The sequence below is a fragment of the Homo sapiens genome, chromosome 7 (genome assembly GCF_000001405.40).
Source record: "Homo sapiens chromosome 7, GRCh38.p14 Primary Assembly".
In the NCBI taxonomy this organism is placed as follows: Eukaryota; Metazoa; Chordata; class Mammalia; order Primates; family Hominidae; genus Homo; species Homo sapiens.
Genome location: NC_000007.14, coordinates 51,745,055 through 51,769,052, shown reverse-complemented (window position 1 = coordinate 51,769,052; position 23,998 = coordinate 51,745,055). Strand labels below are relative to the sequence as shown.

The window sequence follows — 23,998 nt, the reverse complement described above, 5'->3', positions numbered from 1 at the left end:
CTGCTGCACAATTATGTTCAAATAGGACTTCCTAGGTAAGATGTTCTCCAACACAGCACACATTAAACTGAGGAGAGAAAGGTAAATATGTTGGGTGAGGGCCAGGAACTGTCATAAAGCTGATGGCTCTGACCACCTCTTTTTTGTGTGGCACCTATGGGAAGCGATTGGGTCAAATAGTTTCCCCAACATAGAGAAGGGGACACAGGCTTTGAAACATGTCAGCAGCTTCCTCATTGTTCTACCTTACAGCATGCTTATTTGTGTGGCTGAAAGGAGTGGAGGTCTCGGATGGAAATAGCTCTGCTGTTACCTGATTATCCTCTCTAGGACTGTCCTTGCCTTCAGGATTCCTGTACAGTACAGTTCTCTGCTCAACATCCACAATAGACTGTGTTCAAATCCCAGCTCCACCCCTTCCGAGCAATGACTTTGGGCATATTAGAGAACCTCTTTGTGCCACAGCTTCCCCCAAATATAAAAGGGATGAGTAAGAAAAAGAAGCAGGAGTGTTGTTGAAAGAATTCAATGAATTAAAAATTAAATCAATCAAATTGCTCCCACCACATAAGGCATGCTAAGTGAGATGATAACTACAATACCAAATAAAACTGCATGAATATCATAGAAGAGGTAGTAACAAATCCTTATGCATGAGCTAAAGTACGATCACTTTCCAGATGAAGGTAGTACAGACGACTTCAGAAAGAGACCAACATTTGAGCAGAGCCCTAAGAATGTGCTGAAAGTCAATAGCATAGAGTCTCAGGCCTCTTTGGGAAGAAGAAAGGCTTGAACGTAAGAGTAGAGGGCACATTTTGGATAAATTTTGTCTGGCCTGACTCAATTGTAGGATTGGTGCTGACAGCAATATTAATGAAAATTGTCATCATATGTGGCAGTCTTTTTCTAACTGCTTTACATATATTATTAATTCTCAATATACCCTATGATATTTGTACTATTATTATCTCCATTTTATGCATGAAGAACTGGAGCATAAAGAGATTTAGTAAATTGCCAAAGGGCACAGTTAACACCTGGGAGCTGGGGTTAGATCTGGGGAGTTTGCACCCAGCACCTGTGCTCTCTAGCATGCTGACAGTTACCTCTGAAATAGCGAATGGCAGCGCTGGAACTCTTCAGAATTTGCGTCTTCTGATCATTTGCGTATCAAGACCATCTCACCCAGGATAAGAAAAGAAACAAGTCCTAAAGCATCCCTTTGAAAATTAGTTGTGTGATTTTCCAAAGTATGTTTTTTAGACTCTAAAGGGAGGCCATAACCATTTCATGATCTCACCTTTCTTCTTTATGGAGATCAATTCTACATAAAGATGATTATCAGGAAATATTGAATGTCTTGTATCACTGGTTCTTTTATCCTTGAGAATATATTACTATGGTCAAATTGAGTATTTAACAGCCACTGAAAGCGCTTTGACCAAGCTATACTGAAGCTCTCATAAATAACACTATCCTCCTACCCAATATATGGACTTGCTGAAAAGACCACCTATCTGTGCTACACAGTGACACCCCCTCGGGATTTTTCTGATTTCATCCTGATGTCATTTAACTTGTTCTCCTGTCTTTTACATATATTGACTTGTTCTCCTGTCTTTTACATGTATTGTCAACTGAAAATTACATCTAAAGACTTGACTAGATCAGGTTATAGATTTTAGAAAGAGTCTTTCACAGGTGCTGCTAAATACTTCATTTACATCACATCAGAGTGCACACACAGTGACATAAGGTAACTAGTACTGATGCTGAGATTAATCTCTGGTTAAGCCACTAACAGGCAGATCTCTCCTTTGAAGTTGTGTTGCATTACTCAGGATGAGAAAATGATATGTGAAATGATAATTTTGCACAATGTGAACATTCCATTTTCTGACAAACTTTCACAGAATGATCCTATCGCCCCCTGATGATGACTGCTTGAATCAATTATTACATTAGGATTTGTAAAGTGGGAATTACTATATTCAATAATTCCTTTTATATTTATATCAAGAGCTTTTGGCCAAGAAATTAACCTTTTTGGTTACCTTGAAATACAGTTGTATTGGAAAAGCAGTTTAGTACTAATTTCTTTCCTTTATATATTTTCAGAGAAAGGAGTCAGTGTAGTCACCTCCAATCATGTCAGATACAATCTTGATTTTGTGTGTGTGTGTGGCTTTCTATTTTGTGAATATAATTATAGAATGAAGGAATGCACACACTCACTCACAGATAGAATCTTTTTATTGTGTCTCCGTCAATCACAGTCGCCTTCTTTTCCTTGATATCCTAATTGTCCCTGCTTTGCCCCATAGAGTCTCCTGCAGTCTAGCTCCTGTTTCCCTTTGTCCGTATCCTGTTTGTTTTTGAGAGTTTCCTTGATTTTCAGCATAGCAAGATTCTTCGGTAAATTGAAAAGAAAAGAAAGGAGAGAAGAGGCTTCTGTTTCCAGAAAAATGGAACAGTCATAGTTTTTTATATTCCTCCTACACAACTAAACGTAGTCTCAACTAACTTGAAGTACAGGTAAAATTCCTGGACATTATATATAAAATAAACACAGAAAAATTCTGTGTTTAGAGGTGTAGAGAAGAAGGCAGGTTGTCCAGAGATGTTGGGATCCAAGCAACTACAGGGCAGTAAGTTCTCTAGGTTTTCTTTTCGTCTCATATATCCCTGACTTGGAGCTGAAGAAGTCAGTAAACCAGAAATGCCAAGGGACATGAAGAAAGACAGCGCCAATAAAAGCTCTGCTCTTTCTAGCCAAAGGTGTAGGAAAGGGGAAAGAGAGCAAGATGGAAAACTTTTGCATAATAAGCAAGGAAACCATGGAAAAAAACGATGGCACTATCTTCATCCATACTGCAAGGCTGAGTGTGGAGTTTAGACTGCCACCCTAGCAAGACTATAATGAACTACTCCAACATCCATTGCAAGGTCAAGTCAGAGAAGATCAACTAGGGAGCTGCCTCTATCCTGAGAATGTTAGTGGGTATCACATGGGGAACCTGAATTTCTATGCCCTTCTCCACGAGGGTGGTGCCAGAGGAGGACTCGTGAGGAGTCTAAACTTTCCCCATCATCCAATAGTAAAAAGACCACCCTCAAGACATTGTGAGTGAAGATCACATGGGGAGCAAGAATTCGCATTCAGAATAAAGGGAATTCTCCCTCAGGTGTCAGGGGGAACTGAAGGAGGAACCTGAACACCTCTATCCACATGGCAGTAGTGAGGCAGTGCCAAACAAAACCATCTAAAACAGAACATTTAAATGAGATTCAGATGCTCATAACGCAATATGAAAATGTCTAATTTCAGTTAGAAATTACTCATGATATCAAGAAACATAAGAAAGCTAAATGAAAAAAAGAATTAGTCATTGCCAACACCAAGATGATGAGATGTTAGAAGCATCTGACAAAGGTTTTACAGCAGCTATCATAAATATGCTTTGACAAACAATTACAAACATGCTTAAATAAACTTTTAAAGTTCAAAATTTCAACAAAGAAATAGAAGAAGAGGTAAAGTAGAGTGAAATGGAGATTTTATAACTAAATAATACAATAAAGAAAAGAAAATACTCAGTTAATGAGCTCAACAGCAGAATGGAGGGGACAGAAGAAAGAATTAGCAAAATAAAAATAGAACAATAGAAATTACAGTCTGAACAACAGATAGAAGCTATACTTTTAAAAAAATCAAAAGAAAATGAAGACAGCCTCAGGAAGCTCTCTATATTATACAGTGTTAGGAAAACTATTTCTTATATAAGATGTTATAAAAGTGTTTGTCTGTTTGAGATAAGGTATTACTCTGTCACCCAGGCTGGAGTGCAGTGGTGCAATCACAGCTCCTGCAGCCTCGACCTCTGGACTCAAGTAGATCCTCTCACCTCAAGCCTCATGAGTAACTGGAACCACAGGCATATACAATCATGCCCAACTATTTTTTTCTTCTTGTAGAGATGGAGTCTCCCTATGTTGCTCAGGCTGGCCTCCAACTCCTAGGCTCAAGCGATCCTCCCAACTCAGCCTCCCAAAGTGCTGGGATTCCAGGTGTGAGCCACCGTGCCTGGCCTTACAAAAGTTTTAACATTTGTGTTGTCCTTAAAAAACTGACTTCAAATGTTAACAATCTGGACAGGTTTTAAGCAAAAGCATGGAAAATGATCTATCAGATAAACATTAATCAAAGGAAAGTAGGATTCATTATATAATATCAAATAAAGTAGATTTCAGAAAAAAAAGTTTAGCCAACACAATGAGGGATACATATAGTGAAAAAAGGGCTGATACACCAAGAAGTAATAGCAATATTAGATGTGTATGCAATGAACAAAAGACATGCAAAATGCATAAAACAAAACTGAAAACTGAAATGGACAAATTCATTAACTGTAAAGGAAAACAGCAAATCCTGTGTCAACAACTGATAGAACAACTAGACAGAAAATAAGCATGAACATTGAAGAATTCAAGAATACCATCAATCGATGGGACCTAACCAATTCAACAACTAAACAGATGTAATAGAACTTATTTTAAAATATTTCAGCAAAAATACAGCACTTATGTAAAAAAATATCAATTCTTAAATCTGCATATGAGTGTGTACATTATTATACTCTCTATTTTTCTATGTGCTTAACATTTTCATAATAAAAGTCAAAAGACTGGCAAATAATAAATGATACTTCCTTTATAACTAGTCAGCTGTTTTCATTAGGTAACTTCCCTTTGATTATTAGAACTACTATATGGACCTGGTAGATATTTTTAGAGCATTTTAACAATATAGAAATGGTTTTTCTTTGAGTTTTTCAATATAGAGGCCAAAAGGTTCCCTATTTTTGCCCTCATTCTTCTTTTAAACAGCAAGCATTTTATTGAGTGCCTATTTGGACAAGATGAATCAAACCAAATAGCTTTTCTGAAAAGAGTCCATAACCTCATTAAGGAGATAAATATGTGGATAACTATGCAAAATACACCGTGAATGTATAATAAATACAGAAGGCGTGTAGAGATTATCATGCTTCAGGGGAATGGGAGTGGGGTGGTGTGGTGTGTGATACCTGGTCTTTGCACTAAACTGATGTATGATGAGGCATTTACCAGACAGAAAAGAGAAGGAATGACATCCTAAGTAAAAAGGAAAGTTCATGTAATGGCACAAGGCGAGGAGATATGAGCAAAAACCAGTTAATTCTAGACAATTTAATATTGCTGAATGAAAAGGCAGAATGACTGAGAATAAGGCAGGATAAGTAAATATTAACTATATCATGGGAGGTCTTACAAATCATAATGTGGCCAATCCCTGAAGTCTACAATTATATTTTTGCTCTTCCAGGAGGAGGAAAGCAGCCTTCCAATCCTGTGTGCATGTTGATCATGGCAAGCTGTTGTTAGTGACTCCCAAGAGATACAAGAGCACTTCAGTGGGAATTTTAGGCAAGAGTGAGTGTTTCAGGGTTCATAATTTCTTGTGACTAAGAACTGTGTATCATAACCCATGAAAGGCATATGGCACTAGGTCAATATCAACTGTTTTAGCCGAGTGTTGCATTGTCACGGGCAGCCAAGAGAAATCACGATTTATTTCTAATGGTATTACATACCCCAGTTGCTTGTGCTGACTCCCAAGGAGATGGTACCCTGCTAGGCAAATATGCCATGCCTTGCCTGTTTTTCACTGTTAAGTCTATTGAACCTCAAATAATAGGGAATGCAATCACAAAACTGAAATGCTCTTGTCAATTAGCACAAAATACAATTCAATGACTTTATCCTGGAAACAATGGCAAACCATAGAAAATAAATCAAAGTAATTAAAAATGAGCTGTAGATAAATCACTTTGGTAATGACGTTAACAAGAAAAAAGGGTTAGAGATAGCTGAGAAGAAAGTAGCTATGTAAGTGATTAAAGGTAAGAGACTGAAACAAGGCAGCTACCATGTAGATGTAGAGATGGTGGCCTGTTTTAGTGAGGTAGAAAGTGGAGGAGGTGAGGCTCAATGGCAAGCAGACGAGAGGACAAAGGAGAGTTCCTGCATTCAAGGCTTAGGTGACTCCGTGCTGCCACTGCTGTTACCTAGGATAGAAAACCTGGGCAGATAATAGTATCGGGGAGTAATATCAAGAATTCATTTTTTTATGGTTCACTGATGAACTTATAAAAATCCAGGCTGAGATGCACAGTATACTGTTGGTGCTCAAACAAGGGGTCTGTTAGACTTAACTTTGGGACCTATTAGGCATGTAAGGAATTGTGGCTACCTAGTAGTGGACATTATGGAAGAAATGAGGAACTGAAAGATATTGTTCATAGTGCAGATGTTTGGTTTTGCAACATAAAAAAATAAGTACAAATCACTGCATTGTATAAACAATGGTCCAGAAGAAAACAGAATAAAACAAGGCATGTTGTTTACAACAGCAACACAAATGCATAGCAAAGAATAAGAAACTTGGGAATTATGAAATGCCATTTAGAAGGAATGTGACTTTATCAGGAAGCTTAGACTAAGTTACATGGTGCTAGTAAACGATCCCTAAAATCTCAATGACTTCTAGAAGCAAAACATGCATTTCTTCCTCCTGCTACATGTACATTGCACAGTGGCTGGTTGCTGTTCTGCTAGTATTTATCTGACAGTCCTGGTGAAGGAGTAGGCCCTGTGAAGACATTTCCAACGCCATGGATAAAGAAAAGAGAACATGGTAGAACCGCACAATGTCTCAAAGCTTCTACTTGAATATTGCAACACCACTGCTAGTCACATTTCTTTAGTCAAATAAGACTCTGTCAGACATCAATGGAGCGTGAGTTTGCAATGATCCCACAGAACTTAAACAATTTTATGTTCCAGTCCAAGTCACTTTTAAGTGTCTTTGATAGATTTTATAACCAAAAAAGTGACTGTTGCATAGAAAAAACAAACTCCATAAAAAGGACACAAAAACAAAATGGACAATTATTTGCAAAATTGGTAACACAAATTGTTACCACTTCATGGCGGTTAACTAGGAAGTGGGACTTTTAAGTCTTTCTCCCTTATTCCCTGCTATCCTCGGGAAACGAGCGTGTCTGTATTCTTGTTCCCTCATAAACAGCATCAGGCCTCTGTAGAATGGAAGCATCTCACCTTTTATTTATGCTTCTCTGTAAGTATTTGCTGTTTTACAATTAGCAAGTATCATTTTCATAATAATAATGCTTCTAAAATTGCAAGAAAATTATCAAAACTCCAATAGATAAATGAGTAATTATTATGAGTGGAACCATAACAAATTAGGAAATAGAAACAATAAAGAAACACATGGAAAATGTCCAAGAACATTTGTAATGAAGGCACAGAAATTTAAGCAACAAAGAAATTCAATTTCATACCTATTAAATTAACATAAATCTAAATACGTGTTAGGACTTAATCCAAAATGAGACAACAGAACCGCACTAATTCCTTCTCAATAATGTTGCAAATTGGTACAATTTTGGAAAACATAATGGTAATACATTTCAAGAGCTAAGAGAAAGTTATTAATTTTTGAACTATTAATCCAACTCTTGGGTATTTATCCCTAAGAAATAATTCAACAGCAGAAGTCCCCCTAGAGCTTATATTATGTTGCCAATGCTGACATTGATTGAAACCTGTCTCTGCCATGAAAACCTTTTCCCCTTGGCCATCTCAAATGGAGCTGCTCACCTGCCAGCATGGCCTGGAGGTGGGCCTGGGAGTCAGCATCTCCGGTGCCAGATGCTCCCTCATTTCCTACAATCCTCGTCTTCAGCGCAGCTAATTGGGAGGAAGCAGCACTCGGAACACAGCGAGCACTCGATAACTGCTTCTTGAATGATTTCATTAGAAACCTCACCACAGAGAAATTATCTTAATTATAAAACAGTAGCACCAAAAAAGGTTACTGTAACACAATTGCCCAAACTACCGAGTGAAAAATAAAGAAAAATTAGCTGAAAAAAGCATGGTTTGAAAGGTCAAGATTATTATCGTTCAGCAAAGTAGTCACTGAGAACAATTTTTCTGTCCAAAAATGCAGTAAAACAGAAAGAATAAGATCTAGTATTCAGTAACAGAGTAGGGAGACTATGGTTAACAATAATTTCTTGTGTCTTTCAAAATAACTAAAATAGTGGAATTGGAATGTTCCTAACACAAAGAAATGATGAATGCTCAAAGTGATGGATACCCCAATTACCCTTATTTAATTATTATCCATTGAATGCTTTTATCAAAATATCATATGTACCTATGTACAATTATTGCATATCCATAATTTTTTAAAAATTTAAAAAACAAATGTAGAAATGCAAGCTCACACATACAGACTGGTCACAGTTCTGCAGAACTGGAAGGTAACAACTAAACTAGGGTTTTGCAATTCTTTTTTTGAATGTTCTGCAGAGCCTTTGGCTTGGAAAACAGAAGTAGGACCCATAGGATGCTGGGATGCCAGAGGTGTGGGCAATACTTCTCTGCCTCCTGCAATCGACATTTCTGTACCTCCCATCTCAGATATGCATGGAATTCACTGTCAGTAACCAGCTGAAACATTCTACACATTCCACTTTTAAATTTTTGACTAGTTACAGTCAAACCCCATCTTGTACTGTCAATTGATTTACATCCCAAATACCAACAGCTCCAATTTTTGAAGTTAAAATATCATCCATAGTCTCTGTTATTTTTTATTTTCTGCATTTAATGGAACTTGGTTTCTTACCTGAAATGAGCTCCACTCTCTGGTCCTGAAGCTAATTCTTTCCTCTTAGCATCTTCATTAGCTCCTACACATGCCACGGTGGCTGGCTCAATAAATCTCTCTGTGTAAATGGTTCCTCCCTCAGGACTCCCCATTAGGCTGCCCACGGATTGATAAATTTCAGGGTAAAATGCCTGAATCACCCATTCTTTCTTCCTTTGCTTTAAATGAGCTTACTGCTTCTTTCTGTTTCCCATTTTCTCAAATGATAGAAAGTGAGATGTATTACAGGTGCCATGATCTGTGCACAAAATGAAACTCTACTTTCGAGTCCACTGATTCTTCTCTAAGTAACTTTTTCAGGAGGGACTTGTTCAATGAGTTATTTCATAATATGTCAAAGCCAAGACTAAACTAAACAATTAATTCATTTATTGCCCTCAGTGAATGCTGACTTTTTTTAAGGCTTTGAAACTCCAAACTATAATTTTGAAATGTTACATTGAATCATAATCAAGGCTATTAGAAGAGAAAAGCTACTGAATTGGATTATTTTTTATTTAAAACTAGCTTTAAGTTATTGATATTTTGGACTTTTATATCTAATGGTCTTGACAGAGGTCTCTGATTTTTCATTAGCTGTTTCTGCACTCCTGGAGTCCTTCCTTTTTCCTTAAGTCTTTTTCATGCCATTCACTTTTCATAGTTTTTACCTCTGCCATCAGCTGTGGCTTTATTTCAGGATGCAGTGTGCTTGACAGACCATAGAAAACAAAGGGGAGAAGTAGCCTGGTCCTGACAACACGTGGGAAGAAATGCATGCCCTTAAATGTGAAATTTTACCAATCCTTGAACAAAAGGAGCAAGTTAAGAGAATAACCCAAGCCTGAAGGACCTCAAATTTTGGCTTCTACTCAGTGGCAAGGTTGGGCAAATGAAGGCAATTAACAAATTTTGGTTGATGCGACTTAAACGTGTGCCTAGATCTGGGTAAATGTAAGGGCGGTCAGTGTTCAAGGCAGCCCAGGGCTCCAAATTTCCTAGATTCTCAGGCTCTGCCAAGACCCTCAGAGTGGCTGCTCTGCTGGAACGGCAGTCGATCACAATGAGATACACAGAGGATTATCCAGACCATAAACGATAAATTAAAGAAAATGAGTCCCGTATTTTATGGCCTAGTCAGTCTGGGAAGAGTTGTTCAGAGTGAAGTCAGAAAACCCCTTAATGAGAAAACATGAGCAGCATAAATCATAATAGCATAAAAATTGAACTTAGAGGGGGGCTATATAAATAATTCTAAATGTTTATGGAACACCACAGTTGCTTCAAGATCTATAAATATAATCAGTACCTAGATTTTTCTTGGCTCGCTTGATATATTTCATGTAATGAATTTTATCTATGCCACAAAAAGTACTATCATCTATTATTTTAACATCATAGAATAAAAACATTTCCATTGAGTGCTCTCGAATACTCATCCTACACTAGGTCATCTGATATGTACTTTCACACACACAAAAAGTCACCTAGCCTCTAGAGAGGATTATGAAATTTTGAATGATGAAAAGGAAGGCTTGCAAAGGTTGGTACCAAAGTTTGGATGTTTGTCCCCTCCAAATCTCATGTTGAAATGTCATCCCCAATGCTGGAGGTGGGGCTGAGTGTGAAGTTTTGGGTCATAGGGGTGGATCCTTCATGAACAGCCCCCTGGCAGTAATGAATGAGTTCTCTATCTGTTAGTTCCTGCGAGATCTGGTTGTTTAAAGAGCCTCGCACCTTATCCTCTGTCTCTGTAGCTCACTTTCCTGCTCTCACTCTCTCCCTCTCTCCCTTCCCACCCTCTTCTTCTCACTATTGCCACATGACATGCCTGCTCCCCGTTCACCTTCCTCCATCCCAGTAAAAGCTTCCCGAGGCCTCCCCAGAAGCTGAGCAGATGCTGGCATCACTCCTCTTTCGTACCCTGAAGAACCATGAGTCAAATTAACCTGTTTGCTTTACAAATTATCCAGTTTCAGGTATAAATTTGTAGCAACACAAAATGGATTAACACAGTACCTGGCTTGTGCACTGCATGAATGGTGGGAATGGAAGTTGAAGGTGGGTCTGCCCAACTCTGAAGCCCAGCCTCCATGGGCCAACATTCTGCTTGTCAGCATTTTAGAACGAATAGTCACATAAAGGTATAAGCTATGAGAATTCTTGGACTGTTCAAAGGTCACGAATTTACATCCAGGCAATCATTTCGATATTGAGAAAAATGTAGATCAAATGTCGTAGGCAGCCTAAATGTTTTCTCCTCTTGTGCCTTACCGTCTCTTAATAGTCATTAATATTTTCTATCACTATGACTGAGAAGTAAATAAAATCTGATTTTTCTGTCTTCTCACACTTAATTGTTTCTGGGTTTGCTCCCAGGATGTTTCACAGAGCTGTGGCATCTAGAAGCTGGTACCTCAGTGGTGTTTTAAGGAATTTAGCTGATTACAGTTTGAAAAATGGTTTCCCATACATTATCTCAGTTGATCTATTATATATTCCAGCCTATGAGATAATCTGGTATTAGCATTTTCATTTAACAAATAAGAAAACAGATTAAAGTAGGAAGTTAAATGTGGAGTGGAAACTCATAAATGTAAGTACAGGTCTTAGAACCAAATCCTGAGCTTCCTCCACTTCTGATTTATTCAAATTGTTAACACATAAATTTGGCCTAAAGGATGACTCGCAGGGAATTCCACTGTGAGAATGTGTATCCTTTAGCTCAGTGATTTTAACGTGTGGTCCCTGGGCCAACAACATCCTCACCTAGAAATTTGTTAGATATAGACATTCTCAGATCCCTCCCCATACCTACTGAATTGAGACCTCTGGGGTGGGGCTCACCATCTGTGTTTTAAGGAGCCCTCCAGGGGATTCTGATGCTTGCTGGAGTTAAAGAGCCTTTGGTTTAGCCAGAGGAGTTAGTATGAATCTAGAAGTTCAAACCAGATCAAGTTTAGAGATCTAATGTACCATTTAAGGACTCAAGTTAATAAAATTATGCTGTATTGGGAATTTTGTTAAATAAGTGGATTTTAGCCTTTCTTGTTACCAAAAAAGTAACCATGTGAGATGATAGATATGTCCATCTGCTTCACTATAATAACATTTTCCTATCTATATGTATACAAATAACATCACATGGTAAACCTCAAATATGCACAATAAACGTTATTTTAAAAAACAAAAAGGAATTAAAGAGGAAACAATGTTTTTAGAAATCACTGTTTTGCAGGCTGTCTTACCCCTAATATCTGTAAACTTGGGAAGATGCAACTGTGCTGAAAAGGCCCTGTGACCCCCTTGCTCTGGATGGTCAAGCTAGGGAAGTGAAGACAGTATCGGCAAGGGAAGAAGCAAAAGCTTCTGCAGCTCCCGTGGAGTAAGGGAATCGAGGGTCCACAGACTGCTTTATGTAGGGGTTCACTTTAAGGAGGAAGCACTTAAGTTGATCTTGCTGCTCTGATATTTACTAAAAGTCACAACTAAGAGTATGATTACAGTGAGTCACCACATGTTTTCTAGTCCTAAAAATCAGGGGTTTAACTCAGTTCTTAAAATATGGACATAATGAAGTGCATGGCATTCCCTGTGAAGTATCACTTAAATTTTAAGTCTGATTCTCGTCAAGCCTTTGAGCCACACTTAGCAGTTACAGAAAATCAGGGGATAGAGAAGCAGTCAGTGGCCCCACCAAGGAAGCACTCAGATGAGCTCAGTGTCTACAAATGCTACATGCCCCAAATTCAAACTCTTGAAATTAAACAGTAGGGTGGCTAGTCTAGAATAAATTAGTAATAAATCTAATAATAAAATGGGATGTGATGTGTGCAGCTTAATTGTTTCCTTGGTTTAGAGGGTATTAGCTCCATGCAGATAGACAGATAGAGATAGGTTGACAGAGACATGCATACAGAGCAATTATTACAGAATGCCCTCAATTGTTGAACTAAGGTGGACACAGATGACCATTTACTATTCTTGTGGTATATTTATATGCTTGAATTTCTTCAAAATTAAATGTTGATAAAAATAGTGAAAACAGAGAAGGTTATAGAGAAGAAAGGAAAAAAATCTCTATCTCTTCCATCATTCTACGATTAACAAAACCTAGATTAATAAAAGAATAGAGAGGCAAGCAAACCTTTGTTGAACTCCCAATTTCTTTATCCCTTATTCTATGGTAATCAAATCAAAGCTCTGACCCTAAAACTATGTCTCTTCAACTAGAGTCAGAAATTCCAGGGGCCTGGTGCATAGTCAAAATGCTGCAAGGGTCATGAGAGCATTTTCCTAAAGGGATCCTCATGGTCTCATGACTCCTCCCCACTCCCAGGCCTCTGTTCCCCATGTTTTCCTTCCTAGACATGAAAATATGAATGGAAAAACAAGGAGAACAGGGCTAAAGGATTTCTGAACACTGGTGGTAATAAATACGAACACATGCATACACCCAGACATGCACACATGTATCCATGCACCTGGAGAGAAAGAGAGAGACTAGAAGATGTGGATGTCAGCCTCCTCAAAAAGTTTTGCCAGGTCGGGTGCGGTGGCGCATGCCTGTAATCCCAGCACTTTGGGAGGCCGGGGCGGGTGGATCGCCTGAGCTCAGGGGTTCAAGACCACACAGGGCAACATGGTGAAATCCCATTTCTACTAAAAATACAAAATAATTAACCAGGTGTGGTGTCGCACCCCTCTAGTCCCAGCTACTTGGGAGGCTGAGGCAGGAGAATCACTTGAGCCCCAGAGGTGAAGTTTGCAGTGAGCCAAGATTGTGCCACTGCACTTCAGCTTGGGCTATGGAGTGAGACTCCGTCTCAAAAACAAAAACAAAAACAAATAAAAAAAAAAACTTTTGCCAAATAATATCAAATTAACTTTAAAGTTTTAACAAACAAAAATCTTATTTTCAACGCAGAAATTCTCCTTTCCCAGATGAAAATATTTCAAATATTTTAGGTTTTCATGCAGAGAATTACACTTTCAACTAAATCAGATGCCGCTATGCCTAAAGCATCTCCCTCATCTCTGATACCACCCTCTCTGGGCACGTTGTTTTTTCTTTCTTTTTTGGCTCCTTAAATGAAACATGTATTAAAAAGAAGGGCGTAACACTGCCTGTGTATTCACGGTACCAACTCTCTAAATCCACCTTTTCTATATTAGCCTATGCAAATTGAAAATATATAAAATGAAACAAAGCACACATACATTATATAGGCACGTGCCAGATAACAATGCTTCGGCAAAGGAGGAACTGCACACAGACAGTGGTCCCATAAGATTATCACACCATATTTTTACTGTATTTTTTCTATGTTTAGATACGTTTAGATACACAAATACTTGCCACTGTATTACAATTGCCTACAGTGTTCAACGCAGTTACCTGCTGTGAAGCTTTGTAGCCTAGGAGCAATAGACCATGCCATAGAGCCTAGGTGTGTGGTAGGCTGTACTACCTAAGTTCGTGTAAATGCACTCTATGATGTTCACACAATGATGAAATCACCTAAGGACACATTTTCAGAAGTATCCTCTTCACTAAGTGATGAATAACTGTATATATATTCATCACTTCACTAAGTGATGAATAACTGTATATACATATATATATATATATATATATATATATATATATATATATATATATATATATATATATAGAAAGAGACAGAGTCAGGTATGTATATGTGTATGTACCCCAAGACAAAATAACTGCCTTCAATTATGAATGTGGGTCTTTGTGCACAGATATGTGTGTGTGTGAATAAACTTTTATTTTTTGCCACCTGTTGCTCTTTATGAATTAAACATTTGGGAAGTGAAGATTTGCTTAATGCCATAGGCTTTGGATTGTAGTATTATTTTTCTTCCTCTCTTTTCTAAAATTTCCCCCATGCATTTATTATTTCACTGAAATGGAGCCGATTAAGATGGCAAAATCTCCAGCTACTTTACCACAGCTTCATGAATAACAGGGTACAGCTGCCTGGGCTTTGTCCCCGCGAGGAAGAGAAAATAACAGTCTTGAGATGAAAGCACATAGAGTTGTTAATCACTTTCTAATAGTCCGTGCTTAGAATTATTGGTGAGATATCTGAAACCACATCTGCAGGTCTGGGGTCTTACTTTTGCATATTGGTGGAATAACAGCAGCCATGCCAATGCTGAGCCCTGCGGGGCTATGTGATTAGCGAGGCCACCACTCCCTTGCCCAATGCACACAAAGTACCATTTTAATGTTATCTGCCGTAGAATCAAGCCCCAGGGACTGCCCCAACTTTTGAATTTTGCTTTTAAAATGTGCTTCTGTCTCAAGTGTGTTTTTTTGCTGTGGCTTCACAGAAATATTCCGGGGAGGGTTAATATGAACAGACATGATAATGATCATGGCAACTGTGCTTTGGGGTATACCTCAGAGTGCTCAGCACACTTCCCTGGTGTTTTGTTTCAAATTGGGATGAGTTTCTAAAAGTGTTCCATAAAAGATAAAAACCCTAACATTGTTTTTCACCTGCTGAAGAAATGTTGCATGTGGTTTGCTAATGATAGAAAAAGATAGTTTAACTACTATTTCCTTATTGAAAAGTTTTATCTGAAAGAAAACCTAATATATATGTGGTATGGTAAAAACAATTGATTTTGGGAGGAAAATCATAAATGTATTTAAATATAGTACAATTTCTGATACAGGGATGAATTATTGGTTGAACACACTGATTCCAATTTTATTTTCCCTTGATTCCCTTGATTGAACACACTGATTCCAATTTTATTTTCTCCAATGAAATAGAAGAGTCTGCACAATAGGACATCTATAGTTAATGATAATTTATTGTATATTTCAAAATATTAATAACTAGAAGAGTGAATTTGGAATGCACCAAACACAAAGTAATGATAAACAGTTGAGGTGATGGATATCCCAGTTACCCAGATTTGATCATCACACATTGTATGCTTGCATCAAAATGTCACATGTACCCTATAAATGTATACAACTATTATCTACCCATAACTATTTAAAAAGCAGAGTAGGAGTTAAGAAGCAAGGTGCCATATGAAGCTTTGGAGATTTAAGCATAATTATCTAAAGAGAATACACCCAATGGCACAGAGCCCAGGAACCTTGTATGTGAGTTTAGGGTAAAATGAAAATTTTTATTTTTAATGTAAATTATTTCATATACTTTTCGGTGTCTTTCTTGTTCTCTTTGCATCAAATATGTGCTAGAGAGAACATGGAAAAAGAAAGAGATTTTGTCTGCTTTGCGCCAGAATTTTAAAGAGGAGACTAGGAAGCTAGGGTGGAGATGCCTCAGAAGGCTAGGGTGATGACAGCAGCCTCTTCCTCTCTTGGGCCGTTCCTCCTGACCTGACCAAGTCTTCTCCTTCTGCTGCTGCTTTTCTCTAAGATACCTTGGAGGTTTTCCACCTGGCTTTAATAAAGAACATTTGATCCCTTGCAAGTTGCTGCAGGGGTGTGAATGCCATCACAGAATGGGAACAAAAGGATGTAATGACTTATAGAGTCCTAAAATTCAGAAAGAGGGGCCAAATGACAGCGTATGCATAACCCATATGGAGCAGCAGCGTTTTAGCTCACAGCTGAGGAGACTATAAGAGGAAAATAACAAGAAAATAAAACATCTTAAGTTCCAAAAAAAAAAAAAAGAAAGTTGCTTTTTTCTTCTTCAGAGTCTATACCCTTTATTCTCTATAAATCCGTGTTTTTATGCATCAGTCCTTCATACAAAAATCCAATTCAGAGAACAACTCCAAGGATAAAAGTAACTATGTCGTGGTACTTTATATTCAAGATTTTGAAGACAATCAAAAAGATAAATAGGTTTGATATGTTTTTGCAATCTGAAGACTGTAGTTGTTCATTCACTTTTTTCTATATGGAAAAAAATGAATACTTTCAGACACTTAAACAATGAATTTCTCACTTTCTTGCAGAGCACAAGAGGAACTATCTCCTCTGTCAGATCAACACAAAATAAATGAATGAGTGAAATCAGGAACTGGACCAGAAGCCTCAAATTTTGACTTTAAATGTAAAGGAAAGATTCTGGGCCTGGTGTGGTGGCTCACGCCTGTAATCCCAGCACTGTGGGAGGCCGAGGCAGGCGGATCACAGGGTCAGGAGATCGAGACCATCCTGGCTAACATGGTGAAACCCCGCCTCTACTAAAATACAAAAAATTAGCTGGGCGTGGTGGCGGGCACCTGTAGTCCCAGCTACTCGGGAGGCTGAGGCAGGAAAATGAGGCGGAGCTTGCAGTGAGCCGAGATCGTGCCACTGCACTCCAGCCTGGACAACAAAGTGAGACTCCGTCAAAAAAAAAAAAAAAAAGGAAAGAGTCTACCAATGACCAGGAGAATAATGAGAATCTGGCTCTCCATTTAGACACGTGCCCAGAGCTGAATGGACCACTCCTCTTTCTGGAAAGATTAGAAGGTGGATGAATGGTGACCGACATACCCTGGGTCTACAGAAAAAAGAAAAATAATACTCATTATAAATAGGAAAGGAATTCTTCAAAGCATACACTAACACATAAAATGGTGTTCTCTTTAGGATTTCAAGAAAGTAAGGAAGTAGACATTCTGAAACATGATTATATGTAAGAGATGGATGTCCACAGACCAATTTGAACGTACCGAATCGGTGCAGGCAGCCCCCAGACAGAAGCCAAGGAGAGAAGGTGACTCAGGCCCACTAGAAGGTGAGGGGTTGGGGAGGTGAGTAAGGGAAGAGTCGGAGGCTTCACGTGGCTTCACCTTCACTTAGTCAGTGGAATTTCGATTTCTGCTGGAATCCCCACGTGGGTTTGTCCGTACATTCAGCAGTGCACTGACAATTTTGAAAGATGTTCTTTTTGTCGCTTTGTATTTGTCACGCTGTGAGAACAACATGTGTACAGCACACTGTGATATGATACCTTAAATTCATTTGACAATTTTACAAAGTGCCTAGAGTGTGCCAGGTACTGATCTTAGTTTCTGGCAATATAAGAATTAATCCAAGAAACATATGTTCTGCCCTTATAGAATTTACATTATGATGGGTGAGAGGAGGGAGGGGGCAGAGAAAATTAGCAAAACTTGGAGTAAAACTAGAAAGCGATAAGTGCTGGGAAGCAAAATAAAGCAGAGAAAAAGAATAGGGAATTGCAGGAGGCAGAAGTTGTGAATTTTGAAACAAATTTAATGAAGGCCTTGCTTGGAAGGTGATATTGAATAAAGAACTGAAAGGGTTTGGGGAGGACAAAGCTCTGCTGATATCTAGGGGAAGACCATCCCAGGGAGAGGAATCAGAGGGGAGGAGCTCTGGAATGATCAGATGCCTGCCCTGTTCCAGAAATAGCACAGAGGCAAGAGTGGCTGCCGGAGAAGGAGCGAGGGAGACCATAAGAGGCCCAGTGATGAGGATACCAGAGGAGACCAGGTGCTGCAGTGTCATTTAGAAGATACAGGAATGATGTTTCCTGAAGTACATTTTAACAGGATATTAAATGGCTGCCATGCGGGAAATGGATCGGGGTAGGGATAGAGTGCAAGGCCGGAAGCAGGAAGGCCAGTTAAGAGATTATGACAGCATCCCAATGAAGACATTACACTGGATTGCAGCAGAGTGATAGAGGTGGAGGTTGAGAGAGATTCTGGACATGCTTTGAAAGTGGAGAATTTGCTGATAGGTGGGATATGGGGTATGCAAGAAAGAAAAGCAAAATGGCTCCATGACCTATTTATCTATCAAACAAAGTCAGAGTTGCTACCAGCTAAGAAGAGGAAGAATGTGGAGATGGGACCACAGATTTGAGGCAGAAGAATCAAGATATTCCTTCTGGCCATTGTATAGACAAGATGCCCAATTAGACATTTGAGGGAAAATGTCAACAGCTGATCTATGAGTCTGGTGTGATATGGATCTTCATGGATGGGGAGTTGAGACATTCTAGCATCAAGAGTTTAGATGAGGGTACAACAAAGTATAAAGAAAATATATATGGACAAGAAGAGATGAGTGAGCTAGGGAAAAATCAGTGTGGTATCCTAGAAACTATTTGATGAAAGATTTCAAGGTGGCAGGAGCCATTAGCTGCATTCAATGATGACTTGGGTGCAACTAAGATGAGGACTTAGACGTGACCATTGTGTTTAACAGCATGGAAGTTTTTGGTGACGTTGGCAATGGTGGAAGTGAATGCCTGCTGTATGAAGTTTGAAAGAGAAGTGGTGGAAAGAATTCTGAGACAATGAGCAATTTTGAAGAACTGACGCTAAAGGAGAACAGGGAAATAAGGCAAGAAGTGGGGAGGTAAGAGTGGCCATTCATTAGAAAGAGAAAATATTAATATATTAAAAAAAATACCTGCACTTATATGTGTATTGCAGCACTATTCACAATAGCAAAGATATGGAATCAACCCAAGTGTCCATCAACAGATGATTGGATAAAGAAAATGTGCTATGTATACACAATGGAATACTATTCAGCCATAAAAAAGGAAATCATGTGTTTTTCAGCAACATGAATGGAACTTGGGGTCCAAAGCAACTCAAACACAGAAAGATAAATATCACATGTTCTCACGTATAAGTGGGAGCTAAATAGTATCTATACATGCATGTAGAGTGTGAAATGATAAACAACGGAGACTGAAAAAGATGATGGGGTGGGAGGATGAGTGGAAGATGAGAGATTACTTAATGTGTACAATGTACATTATTCAGGCAATGGATACCCTAAAGTCTTGAGTTGATGACTATGAAATCTATATATGTGACAAAATTGCATTTATGCTTATAAATTTATACAAATGAAAGAGAGAGAGAAAAAAACCTGATGCTGACACCTGAAGGCTAAGGCTTCATTGCTGGAATGATGTCCGTGGCATGGGGAGAGGACCGGGCCAGTAAAGCACTGGAAGGTTCTGGTGGTGTGACAATAGATGTATTACTGGGGAAGGTGACTCTCAAAGATGATCCCTGACGATTTTGAAGGGTAGGTGCCCGAAGCTGGAAGGAAGCCTGTGGGCACAAATGGATATGGCTATCCGGTAGACGGTTTTCAGTTCCACACAGTTAGCCTTATTATTATTTTCATTGACATGATTATTACTTAAAACATGGATATAACTGAATCTTATGATACAATATCTAAGAGTTTGAAGGGAACTGGCAAGTCTTAACTCATGTGTGCAGGCAATAAAACATGTTCCAAGACATCTAAAGATCTGTTAATTAAGCCCTCAATATGCCCTTCATGAAAATATCCCTAGGAATACTTGAGCTTAGGAAAATTTGAATCAATTTTTTTAAACTCAAGAATCGTAGTGTTACAATATAAAATGGGTAACTGTGACCATGGCAACAAGCTAAACAAATAAGGACTAAATAATTGATTTGAGTGTGCTTCCAAACAAAAGAGTCAAAAGTGATTTGATTTTTTTTGAGAGAGAAGATACACAGTTAAACATTAATAAATAAGATAATCCCAGCTTGTACCAAAAGTACCCATGAGAGATGTGAGGAGGTGCATTTATCTTATATTCTGGTTCATAGACACATTTTATTTTCAATGTTGATAATTTTTAAGCTATCAGCTAAATCACATCTCTCTGTGGATGTTAGCTAATACTAGTAAGTTTGTTACAAAAATAATCCCTAAATTAGCTGATATGGTTTGGCTCTGTGTCCTCATCCAAATCTCACCTTGAATTGTAATAATCCCCACATGTTGTGGGAGGGGCCCGTTGGGAGGTAATTGAATCATGGGGGCAGGTCTTTCTCATACTGTTCTCATAATAGTGAATAAGTCTTAGAAGATCTGATGGTTTTATAAAGGGGGTCTCCTTGCAAATGCTCCCTTGCCTGCCATCGTGTAAGACATCTCTTGGCTTTTTCTTTGTCTTGGGCCATGACTGTGAGGCCTCCCCAGTCATGTGAGTCCATTAAACCCCTTTTATTCTTTGTAAATTACCCAGTCTCAGGTTTGTCTTTCTTAGCAGCATAAGAACAGACTAATACGTAAAACAATTTAAATGTAAGTGTATGATTTCTAAATGTCAATAAAAATTTTAAAATAATTAAAGAAAATATACGTAAGCAGATAGGAAAGAAATAAAAGGAATTAAAAGATGTAAAAACACCAAAGGATGATAGAAATAGTAATATATGCATTATTTTCTCTTATGATAGGTATATTCCTTAAAAATATCCCATATAATAGGGTTCTATTATTAAAAATTAGACACAGCCAGCTCTCCATAGCTGCAAGTTTTGCATCTACAGATTAAACCAATGGCAGATCAAAAATATTTAATAAATAAATAGTGCAACAATAAAAACAATACAAATAAAAACAAATATAGCACAGCAACCATTTATATAGCATTTAGATTGTATTAGATATTATAAGTAATCTAGAGATTATTTAAAGTACACAGGAGGCCGTGCATAGGTTATGTGAAAATACTACACCATTTTATATCAGGGACTTGAACATCCTCAGATTTTGGTATGTGAGGGCCTCCTGGAACCAGTTCCCCATGGATACAAAGGGATGACCGTAATCCCATGGGAAAAATCTTGCTCATATTTAAGCACCTGTAGAATATATTTAAAAACAGTATGCTTCTAATTTTATGAAATGTGTGTGTACCATAAAACTAAATTTTTCTTGTCTCTTAATCATAGGATTTCTGGGGAGGTTATTTTTCTTATTTTACCTTTCCATGATATTAGAATTTACTTTAGTGAGCTTGCAACAATTTTTTATTCAGGAAACAAATCCCATTTTTGTGAAACTTATCTTTTCTACTCCCTGAAAATAAAAAAATTCTAATTGTAATAGTTTAATAAAATAGTAATTCAGAAAAAATATGTGAATTGCATTGTAAATTAAAATTAAAAGATTTATACAAAATTTTTTGTTTGTATTATATATAATAATGTATACTGATAGTGATAGAAAAATAGATATTTAAATTTAGATGCTTTGTTCTGGGTTATACAGCATTAGAAATTTGGATTGATTTTGGACCAGCTGGCATTAGGCACCTTTTCAACTGTGAACAGACAAGATTTTATTCTGGTCCTCTTTTCAATCCTCACACCTAACTCAGAAAGGAGAAAGCAAAATGTAGAACAGGAAACCTCATCGTAGAAATCACACCCTGGAGGACAATAACACAGTCCCTCATACCAAACACTTAAGCCAAAGCCTGCACCTTGGGGTCTGGGGGGCAGGATTGTCTGCCAGGCATGAAGTCAAGTAGTCAGAAGTATAGGGTTAAATCAGCAAATTAATGACAGCAAAGAGCACAGCATGGAAATATTAGGAAATTCAAGGATACTTCTCTTGTCTCTAAATCAATTCAATCAGATTCTCCTCCAAGTGGAGAGGGTGATATTGATGAAATGACTTTATTCACAGAGTGTTAAACTTGCAAGGAGAGAATTGCCATGACTTAGAGAAGATGCATTCAACTAAACCAGACTGTTGTTCAAAATCTTCGAATCTCCTCAATCAAATTACTGAGCCCTTGACAACAATCAACTAAAAGCTCTTCTGCTGCGCGTGGCACAACAAATGAGGCTATAAAGTTTAAACTCTTGAAGACAGGGGAAGGTGTCCATTAAAAATAAAAAAAACGATGAATGTCTGTGTTTAAATATTCAGAAGAGAATACCAATAAAAAAGGCTGACTTGCCAGTGTTCATAAGGATTTTGGCAGTACCCAAAATGATCACCATTTAAGAAAATATATTTGTAATTGATGGAAATGAATCTGTCACCTCCAGGCAGGCAAATGGTGGCAAGAAGCACACAATATGGGCTATACTAGACAGGAATGTGTTATGCCTCCCCAAAGGGAGCTCCCAGTTGGACTCACAACTGCTGAACACACAGCCCATTTTTAGTTGTTCTCCTAGAAGAGCTTACAAAGCTTGCATTTTGTGAAATTCTCACTTTGGGAAAAGCTGTATGATGGGAGATTTTAATAAGAGATGAGAACAGAGGAAGGAAAGGTGAGTAAAGCCTATACTGTTACCGCTACTCTCCTCAGGTAATACCATCAGGTAGTACCATGGAATCTATCAAGAACTCACTGTCACCTGGAGTAGGCTTCACTTCAAGCAGATTTCCAGACACTGAGCAAAGTTTATCATGCCATGTTTCAAACTTCAGTTTTCTGCCTGATAATGTTTTCAAAAAAATAGGCAAAATGTCTATAATGAGAATGCCTTCATTTGGAACACATTTGAGCATTTACCTTTCTCTTTTATAAATTTTGCATTAAGATAAATATATGTCAGCAAAAATATATTTCTAAAGGACCAGCTGTTTAGACACTTTTGAAATTTACTGGAGAAGACTTTCCAATGCATTTATACTGCAAGGTGAAACTAACGACAAAAACAGTGCTAGTCTCACTGATAAAGCCTCATAGGCACTGAGAAAGCAATACCATTCCTGGCTCTGCTTATCTTGTTTTAACGTAAAACTAAGATGAAGCCACACCGGGAATACATTTCAGTTCCTCTAGTACTGCATAACCAAGAAAAACATTAAGCTTTTATTGTTTCTCGCCCTCTCTCTCTTTTTCTGTTTTATCTATCTTTGCATTGTAATCATTTCTTCGCATATATATTCTAAAATGACTATGGTATAGTCTAAATATAAAATGACTGTTGTGTAAGACTTATACAGGCACAATTCCCCTCTCTCTCTCCCACCTCTCTCCATCTCTCTCTGTCTCTGTATGCATCTGTACTTCTACCATTTCAAAAAAATTTTGAGGTAATTCAATGCATGGTTGCAATGAAGGATAAAAGAGCATCAAAGAATGGCAAGTGCAGTGTGGAGGGAAAGAGCTGTAAAAGTACAGGGAGCGCCATCTCAGGAGCATGGCAATTGCAGGTCATGGAAAGATAAGGCAGTTACTTCCTCAACGGCACCATTCAACTTGTTTCCGTTTCAAGCACACTGAAGGCAGGGATCAGACAACCCATGTCATTTTATCAGAAATCACCATGTAGAGGTGACATTGTGGTGTTCACTGAACTGCCAAGGGCTACCTCAAGTCTTAGCACCAGCCCACGGCCCACCCAGTCTCCCACGTCGTCTACATGAGTGGCCCAATTCAAAAGAGAGAAAAGCAGAGGTGCCACATGCTCCACCATAAT

General features: G+C 38.2%; 1 annotated feature.

The window, feature by feature from the left end:
- Nucleotides 17,146-18,345: an enhancer, noted in NCBI's record as "CDK7 strongly-dependent group 2 enhancer chr7:51818404-51819603 (GRCh37/hg19 assembly coordinates)". NCBI's record gives its function as "activates an origin of replication core promoter dependent on BRD2, BRD4, P300/CBP, MED14 and CDK7 cofactors, with strong dependence on CDK7, by STARR-seq in HCT116 cells {active_cell/tissue: HCT116}" and the evidence as "EXISTENCE:reporter gene assay evidence [ECO:0000049][PMID:35650434]".